The sequence below is a fragment of the Homo sapiens genome, chromosome 1 (genome assembly GCF_000001405.40).
Source record: "Homo sapiens chromosome 1, GRCh38.p14 Primary Assembly".
Taxonomy (NCBI): Eukaryota; Metazoa; Chordata; class Mammalia; order Primates; family Hominidae; genus Homo; species Homo sapiens.
Window position 1 is genome coordinate 151,746,612 of NC_000001.11, and position 13,035 is coordinate 151,759,646.

Consider the following 13,035-nt stretch of genomic DNA (forward strand, 5'->3'; position numbering starts at 1 on the left):
CTCCAAATATAATTGTGGATTTGTCTGTGTCTGTTTTGAGTTCCATTCGTTTTTGCCTCACACATTTTTCAGCTCCTTTGTTTGGTGCATATGCATTCAGGATCGTTATGTCTTACTGATGGATTGACCCTTTTTATCATTATATGATGATCCTTTTTGTCTCTGATAATTTTCTTTGCTTTGAAGTTTACTTTACCTGTTATTAGTATAGCCGCTTTTGCTTTCCTTTGGTTAATGTTTGTCTTTTTTTGAGACAGAGTCTCACTCCATCACCCAGGCTGGAGTGCAGTGGTACCATCTCGGCTCACTGCAACCTCCACCTCCCGGGTTCAAGTGATTCTTGTGCTTTGATCTCCTGAGTAGCTGGGATTACAGTCGCCCACCACCATGTCTAGCTAATTTTTGTATTTTTTAGTGCAGATGAGGTTTCACCACGTTGGCCAGGCTGGTCTCGAACTCCTAACCTCAAGTGATCTGCCTGCATTGGCCTCCCAAAGTGCTGGGATTACAGGTGTGAGCCACCACTTGTGGCTTTTTTTTTTTTTTTTGACAGGGTCTCGCTCTGTCACCCAGAGTGAAGTCCAGTGGCACAATCTCGGGTCACTGCAATCTCCGCTTCCAAGGTTTAAGTGATTCTCCTGCCTCAGCCTCCTGAGTAGCTTGGGTTACAGGTGCCTGCCACCAAGCCCAGCTAATTTGGTTAATGTCTGCATGATATAACTTTCCCCATCCTTTTACTTTCAGCCTGCCCATATCATTATATTTAAAGTAAGTTTCCTGTAGATAGTACATAGTTTGGGTCATGCTTTTTAATTCATTCTACTAATCTTTATGTGGTTATTGGTATGTTAGGGCTTAAGTCTGCCATTTTTTGTTTTGTTTTTTTTTTTCCCAATTTTTGTTTCTTTGTTTTCTTTTGCCTACCTCCTAAAGATTACTTGAACATTTTTTAGAATTCTATTTTGATTTATCTATGGCATTTAAAAAATATATGGAGTGCTTCACAAATTTGCATGTTATCCTTACACAAAGGCCATGCTAATCTCTGTATCATTCCAATTTTAATGTATGTATTGCTGAAGTGAGCACTTTCTACAGTGTTTTTGAGTATATTCGTATAGCTTTCTTATTGGTTGTTCCAGGTATTATATTATATATACACATAACTTATTATAGCCTATGCTGTCATTATTTTACCAGTATGAGTGAAGTATGGAAACCCTCTCTTTGTCCCTTTTCCCTCTCTAATTTATAATTTCTAAAAACATTCCCTCTACATACCTTTAGAATAAAATCAGAAAGTGTTGTTATTTTTGCTTCAACTGTCAAACATAGTTTAGAAAATTCAATAGAAGAAATGTCTATTGATTTTCCGATATTTTTTGCTAACTGTGTCTTTTCTTCCTAATGTTCCAAGATTTCTTTTTTCATTGTTTCCTTTCCATTTAGAGAATCTCTTTTAGCCACTTTTAGAGTAGGTCTACTGGTGACAAACTCTTTTTGCTTTCCTAAGAAAACTTCTGATAATGTCTTAGTTTCCTCTTCATTCCTGGAGGATTTTTCTTTCTGTGTATAGAATTCTATTTCTTTCTGGGTATAGAATTCTGAGTTGACTGCTATTTTCCTTCAGCCCTTGAAAAATATTGTACCAATTCCTTCTGGCCTCCATGATTTCTGATGAGAAATCCATTGTCACTGAATTGTTTGTTTCCTTATAGTGACATTTTCAAGAGTTTTTTTTCTTTGTCTGATTTCAGAAGTTTAATTTTAACGTGTCTTGGCACAGATTATTTGGGTTTATCTTGGTTGAGGTTTCCTCAGCATTTTTTCTTTTTTTTTCTTTTTTGAGACAGAGACTCACTCTGTTGCCCAGGCTGGAGTGCAGTGGTGTGATTACAGCTCACTGCAGCCTTGACCTCCTGGGCTTGAGTGATCCTCTCACAGCTGGGACCACAGGTGCATGCCAACATACCTGGCTAATATTTTGTGTGTGTGGTTTTTTTTTGTTGTTTTTGTTTTTGTTTTTTTGGTTTGGTTTTTTTTAGAGATGGGGTTTTACCATATTTCCCGGTCTGGTCTTGAACTCCTGGCCTCAAGCAGTCTGCCTTCCTCTGTCTCCCAAAGTGCTGAGATTACAGGCGTGAACCACTGTACCCGGCCTTCCTCATCTTTTTGAATCACTATGTTTATGAATCACTATGTTTTGTCTCTTGACAAACTTGGGAAGTTCTCAGTCATTATTTCTTGGTGTACTTTTTCAGCCCTGCCTTCTTTTTTTCTTCTTCTGGGACTCCAGTGACAGGAATGTTAGATCTCTTGTTACCATCTCTCAGGTCCCTGGGGCTCTATTCATTTTCTCACTCTATTTTCTCCGTTGTTCAGACTGAGTAGTTTCTATTGTTCTACCTTATGGTATGCTGATTCTTCCCTTTCTTCTCTTTATTCTGGCATTGAGCCTATCCACTGAGCTTTTCTATTTGTTTATTGTATTTTATAGTTTTAAAATTTCTATTTGGTTCTTCCTTATACTTTCTATTTCTTTGCTGAAGTTGTATAGTTTTTCACTTTTTTCAAGTGTGTTCATAACTGCTTCTTGAAGCATTTCTATCATAGCTGCTTTAAAATCTTTGTCAGATATTCTAATATAGCTGCCATCTCAGTGTTGACCTCTATTGTCTTTTTTCATTCAGTTTGAGATCTGGACATTTTTGTATTATGTTATAAGACTTTGGATCTTAATTTAAAACTTTTGTTTTAACTAACTTTGTCTGTCACTGCATTGGCATGAGAGGGGGTGTCATTTCATTGCTGCCAGGTGAAGGTAGAAGTTCAGATTTCCCACTGTACCTCTGTTGACACTCAAGCGGGACAGGTCTCCTCCTTACTGCTGGATAGGGCTGCTTGTTCCAGCCCCACATGGTGTCTACTGATACTGTGGTAGAGGTGGCCTCATTACCTCTGGGTGATGGTTAAAGTCCTGACTCTCTACTAGGCCTCCTCTGATACCAACTGAGCAGAAAAGCAGAGGGGTACCTCATTTCTGCCAGATGGATATCCAGGTTCCCCACTGACACCACGGTCTTTATTGCCATCATGCACACAGAGAGGAGGGCTCATTACTGGCTGGCTGGGACAAAAGTCCCAGTTCCCTACTTGGCCTTGTGTGACACCACTCTAGTAAGGGTATTGGGGTGGCCTGTTACAATCTTGAGAGAGTGGAAGTCTAGGTTTCCCACTTAGTTTTGGCATGGGTTGGGGTAGGGCCACGGTAATAGAGTTCTCCAGAGAAATAGAACCAATGGAATATATGTATAAATTGGCTCATGTGATTATGGAGGCTGAGAAACCCAATGATCTGCCATCTGCAAACTAGAGCCCCAGGAAAGTCCGTGGTGTAATGCCAGTCTGAGTCTGAAAGCCTGAGAACCAAGGGAGCCAGTGGTATAAATTCCAGTCCAAGAGCAAGAGAAGATTGATGTCCCAGCTCAAGTAGGCAGGTAGGAAGCAAAACAGGGACATTTGTCCTCCCTTTGCCTTTCTGTTCTATTCAGGCCCTCAACAGATTGGATGATGTCCACTCACACCGGGGAGAGTAATCTGCTTTACTGAGTCCATGGATTCAAAAGCTAATCTCATCCAGAAACACCTCACAGACCACCCAGAATAAAGTTTAATCTAGGCACCCTGTAGCATGGCTAAAAGTTCCTGTCTTGCAGACTGCCCCTTGCCTTTGGCTAGCAGAAACAGGCTTTTGTTGGAGCTTTTCTTTTTCTTTTTGGTCTGTGCCCATTGACATTTCCTGGTTGCTGGTTTCTTCAGCTCCAAGTGTGGAATAAATGAAGCAAAAGGAAAACTCGGAGAACTCACCACTGTGGTGTTTCTTGGGTCTTGAGGTTTCTATCCAGTCTGCTTTCTTTTCTCCACCTTTCAAAGTCTTCTTACGTTTAATAAATAATTTCCAGGGTTTATGGTTGTTCTAGGAGTGGTCAAAGTACATTACCCCAACCTCCCAGAGGCAGAAGTTCCATCCAGTGTATTTTCCATTTCAGATATTATATTTTTCATCTCAAGAAGTTCCATTTTGGTCTTTTAAAAATACCTTCCATTTCTCTCCTCATTATATTTTTGTTTTTCTTTACATTATTTAACAAATAGATTAAATATGTTCATTTTAAATTTAATTCAGTATGAAACTGTTAACCTTTACAAAAAGACAACTAGGAAAATGGCTAAATATTTATTTCTATAACCCCTAGTTTCACATATTTTTAAGTTCAGAACTAAAATACTATGTCTCCTCTGACGCCTTGGTGAAGTTAATAGTACAAACTCCTTTTTTTAACTTTTTCTCCTGACTTGGTCTGTTTTTATTTTTTTTAATTGACAAATAAAACTTGCATATATTTATAGGGTACAACATGATGTTTTGATATATGCATACATTGTGGAATGGCTAAACCTAGCTAATTAACGTATGTATTACCTCTTGTACTTATCATTTTTTGTGTGTGGTAAGAGCACATAAAATCTATTTTCTCTTTTTTTTTTTTAGAGATGGAGTTTTGCTCTTGTTGCCCAGGCTGGAGTGCAATGGCACGATCTCAGCTCACCGCAACCTCTGCCTCCCAGGTTCAAGTGATTCTCCTGCCTCAGCCTCCCCAGTAGCTGGGATTACAGGCACGCACCACCACGCCCGGCTAATTTTTGTATTTTTAGTAGAGACGGGGTTTCACCATGTTGGCCAGGCTGGTCTCAAACTCCTGACTTCAAGTGATCCACCTGCCTCGGCCTCCCAAAGTGCTGGGATTACAGGCATGAGCCACTGCACCTGGCCCGTTGCCCATTTTTAAAATCAGGTCGTTTGCTTTCTTGCTATTGAGTTGTTAGAGTTCCTTATATATTTTGGATATTAACCCCTTGTCAGATGTATGGTTTGTAGATATTTTCTCCCACTGGGTAGGTTGTCTCTTTACTCTGTTGATTTTTTGCTTTGCTGTGCAGAGGCTTTTTATTTTGATGCAATTCTGTTTGTCTACTTTTGATTTTGTTGCCTGTGCTCTTGGGCTCATATCTAAAAAACCATTTTTCAGACCAATGTCATGGAGCTTTCCCCCTGTGTTTTCTTCTGGTAGTTTTACTGTTTCCGGTCTTATATATACGTCTTTTCCCCATTTTGAGTTGATATTTATATATGGTATGAAATAAGGGTCTACTTTCATTTCCTTTATTTAATTCTTAAGAACATGCAGGCCAGGTGCGGTGGCTCACACCTGTAATCCCAGCACTTTGGGAGGCTGAGGTGGGAGGATCATCTGAGGTCAGGAGTTAGAGACCAGCCTGGACAATATGGTGAAACCCCATCTCTACTAAAAAAAATTAGCTGGGCATGGTGGCGGGTGCCTGTAATCCCAGCCACTGGGGAGACTAAGGCAGGAGAATCACTTGAACCGGGGAGGTGGAGGTTGCAGTGAGCTGAGATCACGCCATTGCACTCCAGCCTGGGCAACAAGAGCGAAACTCCATCTCCAAAAAAAAAAACAACACCACATATTTATATCTCTTTTAATGTCCTGTCTACTAATCCCACCATTTCTGACATTTCTGGGACTGTTTCTTTTGGTTCTGGGTAATGTTTTCTTATCTCTTTTTATAATCATTTTTTAAAGAGATGGGGTCTTACTGTGTTGCCCAGGCTAAAGTGCAGTGGCTCTTCTTGGGTGTGATCATACTGTATTACAGCCTCAATCTCCTGGCCTCAAGTGATCCTCCTGCCTCAGCCTCCTGAGTAGCTGGGACTACAGGTACATGCCACCACATCCAGTACAATAATATTAAATTGAATGTCAAACCTTGGGAATTTTATTTTGTTCAGTGATAGGTTTTGTTGCATTTCTCTAATGAGTGTTGGACTTGGTTCTGGCATGCTTGGTATCAGTTCGATCATCAGTGCTTGTTTTCAAGCTTTGCATGGTGGCTCCAGAGTAGCCTTTATTCTAGTGTCCACTACTGAGTCCTTTTAAAGTCTCTATATAATGCCCCATGTATTATAGGATCTATTCATATAGGCTGTGAGGAACACAAACAAAATATTCCCAATCCTGTGTAAGTTCTGAGAATTGTTTGGCCTTTCATTTTCTGTTGTTGTTGTTGTTGATTTTAACCCCCTGCCTTGTGGAATTTTGCCTCATTAATGTACATATCAGTATTCAGCCAAAGTTTTAAGGTCTGGGACCTCTTGGCAGATCTCCAAAGCGCTCGGTGTCATTCCCTCATCTCCAGTGTTTTCCCTTTTTTCCTTTCCTTTCCTTTTTCTTTTTCTTTTTCTTTTCTTTTTTTTTTTTTTTTTGAGATGGAGTTTCGCTCTTGTTGCCCAGGCTGGAGTGCAATGGCTCAATCTCGGGTGACCGCAACCTCTGCCTCCTGGGTTCAAGCAATTCTCCTGCCTCTACCTCCCAAGTAGCTGAGATTACAGGCATGCGCCACCATACCCAGCTAATTTTGTATTTTTAGTAGAGATGGGGTTTCTCCATGTTGGTCAGGCCAGTCTCGAACTCTCTTCCTCAGGTGATCTGCCTGCCTTGGCCTCCCAAAGTGCTGGGATTACAGACGTGAGCCACAATGCCCAGCCTTCCCTCTTAATTTCTAGCCAACACATTCTCCACCAACCCTAATCTCTGTTTTCTCCACTCAATGAGACTGCTGACTCTATTGCGGCTCCCCTCTCTGCAGTGCAGGAAACTGCCTCTAGGCAGTAAGCTGAGGCAATTCTGCACTACTGGCTTTCCATTGTCTATAAATATTTCTTTCATAATTTTATCTGGTTTCATAGTTGTATAGTGGGAAGGCAATTTCTGTAGCTGTACTTCCTTCTTGGGAGAAGTGGAAGTCTTCTTGGGCCAATTTTTCAGCTGGAAACAACTTGTTAAAGAGGCTACGTCTCTAGCAGAAAGGACCCTGAGACACCATGACAAGTATATAAGGTAGTAATTTTCCCAATCCTAACCCACAGGGACTTATGACCTTTTATTTTCATAAGACACAGGAGAGAAAGAGGACTATGCAAACATTTAAAGCACTGTTGGATAGAGTCCATTGACATTGACACCCTAGGATTGGAAGCTCCATTATGGACCTCTGTTAGAGTTGCAGGGTGTGGAGGCTAGGTAATAATTGTATTCCAGCTCCAGCTCTGACTCTCAGTAGGTCTACCAGGTTTACAGACTCACCTAGTAGTTACTTCATGAGTCCTTAATGGACAGTTGGAATAGACATATTTGACAGTTGGCAGAACCACCAGGTTGGTTTTTTGGTTTGTGAGGTAGGAAATATCATAGTGAGGAAGGCCAACATGAAGTGTCTGGAACTGCCTCCACCATTCCAGACCAATATAATAAATAAAAATTACTCCATTAGTGCCCTGCTTGAAGACCTAAAGAATGCAGAGGTGGTGGTGCCCATCATATTGCCATTTAATTCACTAGTCTGGCAACTGCTAAAACCAGACAGATCTTGGAGAATGAGTATGGATTACTGCAATCTCAATCAACAAATAATGCTAATTCTATCTGCTGTTCCAAATGTGATATCTTTGCTGGAAAAGATTAACGCAGCCTACATGGTATGTATTGATCTGGACAATGCACCCTTTTTCATCCTTGTAGAAAGGAAGATCATAAAAGCTTGCTTTCACTGAGATGAGCAATAATATACATTTCCAGTTTTGCCTCTGGACCATGTAAACTCTCCTGCCTCTGTCATAATATAGTCTGAAGGGACCTGGACCATTAGGACATTCCATAGGACATCCCATTACTGCACTGATGACATCATGGTAATTGTACAGGATGAACCTGAAATGATACCTGTATCAGAGGCCTTGGTAGGATAAATCTTCTTCAAATAGTAGGGCAAGAATCCTACAAATATTCAGGATCTTGCCAGATCAGTGAAGTTTTTAAAAGTCCAGTGGTCTGAAGCATACCAGGACATTCCCTCCAAAGATGATAAGGAGAAATTTTGCATCTCGTATTTCTCACCACTAAAAAGCACAATGCCTTGCAAATGTCTTGGGGTCTATTGCTAGCATATTCCATACTTGGAAATGTTGCTTTGACACAAATATCATACGTGACACAAAAGCCTGCCAACTTTGAGTGGGTCCCAGAGCAGGTAAAAGCTCTGTAGCAGGCCAAGACTGTGGTACAAATGGCCCTGCGGCTTGGATCACAAGACACCATATTATATTAGAGGTGTCAGTGGTGAGAAAAGATCATATACTGTTCGTGATAAATCCCAATAGTAAGTCACACACAGCCCCCTATAGTGCTGGAGCAATGCCATGCCATCTGAAACAGAGCATTATATACCTTTCAAAAGATAGCTCCTGGAATGCTACCGAGTACTAGTTGAGACAATGTGCTTACCTATGGGACGTTAAGTCATGATGTATTATAACCTGGGTTCTGTCAAACCCACAAGTCATAAGGCTGGGTGGGTCGACCGGTCATCCTTCATAAAATGAAAGTGGCATATGTAGAATTGGGAACAAGCAGGGCTGGAAGGCAAAAGTGAGCTACATAAGCAGGTGCCCAGATGCCCTGTCACCCACTATTGATGCACTGGTGGTGCTTTCTCAGTTTACATCTGTAGCCACATGGATCGGAGATCCCTCATGACCTGATGACAGAAGAGGAAAAAGGCTGAGCTTGGTTAATGTACTGGTTGTCTCATTAGGTGAAAGTAGGCTGGAAATACACTGTGGCTGCACTATGGCCCCACTTAGATGGCCTGTGTACCTGCCAGAAGTAAGAATATATATAGACTCATGGGCCTGGAAGGCAAACTGGAAGATTAAAAACAAGGAAGTGTGGGGAAAAGGAACATAACATACCCGAGAATGGGTATACAGTGTGATGATTTTTGTATTGCAGGTTAATTCCCATCAGATAACATCCACCACAGAAAAGGTACCAACCAAGCAGATGGAATGACTTAGCCAAATAATGTTAACCAGGCTTTGTTGCTGGCACCCCAATGCTGGCAAAGTGATCAATGAACGGAGGAGCCATGGTGGAGCAAATGCAAGGGTTCAACGTCATGGACTCATCAAGTCTGATCTAACTACTGCATCAGTGAATGTCCAGCTTGCCAGCAACAGAGACCAACACTTAGCCTGATGTCACCATTCCTCAAGGAAACCGTCTAGCCACTTGGTGGTAAGTTGATTACACTGTATCCTTGCTACCTTGGAAGGGGAAGTGTTCTATTTTGAAGGGGCACTGATGTATATTATGGGTACTGGTTTGCCTTTCCTGCCTGCACAGCCTCGGTCAGCAACACCATCCAAAGGTTTACAAAATTTTGATCCATTGGCCTGAAATCTTGTGTAACATTGCATCAAACCAAGAGACCCACTTGATAGCAAGGAGGTACAATGCTGGGCACATGATGGTAGGATTGGCTTTAATCACATACCGTACTATGCAGAAGCTGCTCCCTGATAGAGTGCTTGTTAAAAGCACAGCTAAGGCACCGGATTGGAGATGATAACCTGTAAGGAGAAGGCATCATCCTTCATGATGCAGTACATACCTGAGACCAATAGCCATTGAATAGTGTATCCTTAAGGAAAATATATGGCTCTGGGGAACAAAGGGTGGGTGTAGGAGCAGCCCGCATTATCATCACTCCCAGTGACCCAATTGAAGAAACTGTGCCTTCTATCCCAACTCTGGTCTCTAAGGGTTTAGAAGTCCTGGTTCCCAGAAGGGGAATATTTGCACCAGTGAACACACTGAATCTCACTAAACTTTAAGCTATGGCAGGCACTAGATTACTCCAAATCACTACCAAGAAACAAGGCAAGGAAATGAGTCATTATCAGGAGGTGGGGCTGCTATTACACAGTGGGGACAGGGAAGAATATATCTGGCACCCAGATCATCCACTTGAGTATGTTTCTCCTTGCCCAATTTTGATGATAAATGAACAAGTGCAGTCATAGTCTGAGAAGGGCATGATGGCCAGGTACCTCATCTGGTAACCCACGTGAACCAGAGGTACAACCCCCTCAAGGGGGTTGGGGAAAGATCAACAATAGGTAGTAGAGAAGGGAGGTGAATGCCAGTTGCAAACTCAAGCTACAGCAGCAGAGGCTGTGGCCTGTTCCAGACCTTCCTCTTTTAAGTTTCCCCAGAAAGAGATCCATCAGAATCCTGAAGAAACCATTCCAGAACTAATGAAACAAATCAGTCTGAGCAGTGCAAAGGGTGGACTGCAGTGTTGACTGTGGTGTGCTGCCCATATTTTCCCCTTGAGGACTGAAGCTGCTAAGAATGCTGACAGCTGTCACCTGTGCCTCATCCAGGGACCGCCTTTGGCTGAAGTTAGCCACCTCACTCATGATCATACCCCTTTCCTGGTCAAGTGGGGAGATAAGGTCCAGCCCACTTACCCTACTGGGGCATCCTGCAGAGCCATCCTAGTTTGAGCTCCTGATTGACTGAGGCGTTTGTTAAGACTGCATCAGCTCAATTTCTCCCTCTACCCAATTCTACTGCCTTTACTCCCCAATAGGTGTTGATGCAGATAACTCCTCCCAATAAACTTCCTGCATGTGAATCTCCAACACAGAGTGTTTTTGCCAAGAACTCAACCTATGGCAGGTATTTAAATGCTTTTTAAGGTTAGCTGTGTGAAATGTGTGCTCGTTGCTCAATTTCAGAGAGTTTCGTGATGGTCATGTTGAGAGATGCTGTGTGTGTTTAATTAGCCTACCATTTCAAGGACAATAGGAATGGGGATCATTGAAATGGCAAATTTCAGTGGGCTTGGGGCTCATGCCGAGGCTGCAGGTCCTCCCCAAACCTCAGGAGCGTGTCCAGGATGGCAGAACTCTGTGCTTCAGTTTGGGGGTTAATTCTGGGTGTCCCCAACTCACTAGGGATTAACTGGGGTACAGAAGTGTATGCATCTACTTCAATCTAGATTAGCGCTTCCTAAATACTGGGGTCTCTGCAAGTTAATGGAGGCTCAAACCTTTCAGGAAGTTCTGTTAAATCCAAGACTGAGTGTACCTACCAAAAGCAGTCAACCATCTTTCAAAACAAGAGGGTCCTGCTGGGAGATACTGGCAATGAGAAGTTCCTATAGGACCATAAGATCAGTCTGGGGCTGGGTGCAGTGGCTCATGCCTGTAATCCTAGCACTTTGGAAGGCCGAGGCGGGTGGATCACCTGAGGTCAGGAGTTCAACACCAGCCTGGCCAACATGGTGAGACCCCGTCTCTACTAAAAATACACAAAAAATTAGCCGGGCGTGGTGGTGGGCTCCTGTAATCCCAGCTATTTGGGAGGCTGAGGCAGGAGAATCGCTTGAACCCGGGAGGTAGAGATTACAGTGAGCCAAGATCGTGCCATTGCACTCCAGCCTGGGCAACAAGAGCGAAACTCCATCTCAAAAAAAAAAAAAAAAAAAAAAAAAATCAGTTTGGGCTTCAATATGCCCAAATAGGCTATGAGGGCACCTATATTTACACTGATTGCCCTTTATTGGTAACATCTCCATCTGAGGGTGGATCCTGTCTGGCATGGTGACCAAGATAAAAGATGCAAAAGATCAACATCATCCACCAAGACTATTTCCACTACATGTGTAAGTACAGTTGCTTCAAGAAGCACAAGAACATGTTCATGCACCCATCCCCTTGCATCAGGGATGTCCAGATCAGCAACATCATCATGGTTGGGTAAGCACCAGCATGAGCAAGATGGTACACTTCAACATGCTCATGGTCCCCAATGCCACCAAGAAGCAATTCCAGTTCTGAGTCTGGATGCCTGCCTACTCCCTAATGTGAAATAATGTTATTTTCCCATTCAAAAAAAAAAAAAAAAAAGAAAAGAAAAGGGTGGGGAGGGGAGAAATGCTAAATTTCAGATAGTGCCAGTGCCACACTTGAGTTACAGAGCTCTGTCAAGTATGAAGTTGGCTATAGTTATCAGTGCAACTACTGATGACAGACTTTCTCATTAGCTGAGATGGGATGAAAGTGTTTAACTGACTCAGAGTGGTAGGTGAGCTCAAATAGGAAAGAAACCAATGTCTGGTATGGATAGCAAAGGAGTCAATGATCCCATCTTTACTACCCTAAACTGCATGACCTCACATTGTATTTGAGTGACCTTGGCACAATCCACCTGAAAATGAATGTTTTTTTCTACTAATGAAACTCTGAACTTACAGAAAACTATCTACTTTCAGGCCAGGCATGGTGGCTCATGCCTGCCTGTAATCCCAGCACTTTGGGAGGCCGAGGAGGGTGGATCATGAGGTCAGGAGTTTGAGACCATCCTGGTCAATATGGTGAAACCCCATCTCTACTAAAAATATAAAAAATTAGCCGGGTGCTGTGGCACATGCCTGTAGTCCCAGCTACTCGGGAGGCTGAGGCAGGAGAATCACTTGAACCAGGGAGGCGGAGGTGCAGTGAGCTGAGATTATGCCACTGCACTCCAGCCTGGGTGACAGAGCAAGACTCTGTCTCAAAAAAAAAAAAAAAAAAGAAAAAGAAAAAGGAAAAAACTATCTACTTTCGTTTATCTCCCATCAAGACATCCATTCATCCATTCCAGAGTTACCTTTTGACTAGCTCCCTATCTTAATCTTGGTCTAGAAAATTAAGGTAACTTCTTTTTCAGAATTTCAGGAGCTGGTTCAAGGAAAAAAGTTCCCTTTTTAAGCTTCTTTCATCCCAGCTTTCCAACAATTACCCTTAGGCCTTACTCAGGTCTTAGAGAAGCAGAATCCATTGTGCTTATTCACATTGATGACTACATCAATGTATCTAAGAAGAGTAAGTGTTAAGACCAAACACATCATCAACTTGTTCAGCACAATTTGTTCATACCACAGTAACTGTGGGATGCAGTCTAAGATATTCTCTTCTTTCCTTTTTAGCAGCAAACCTCTGTGACTCAAGGAAATCTCAGTTGGATGTCCTGTCTCATCTACTCAAGACCAGTAAGCAACACTTAC

At 42.3% G+C, this 13,035-nt stretch overlaps 2 pseudogenes; one reads left to right on the plus strand and one right to left on the minus strand.

Moving 5' to 3' along the window:
• RNU6-662P (RNA, U6 small nuclear 662, pseudogene) lies at positions 986 to 1,089 on the minus strand (annotated as a pseudogene).
• Positions 11,470 to 11,821, plus strand: RPS11P3 (ribosomal protein S11 pseudogene 3; annotated as a pseudogene).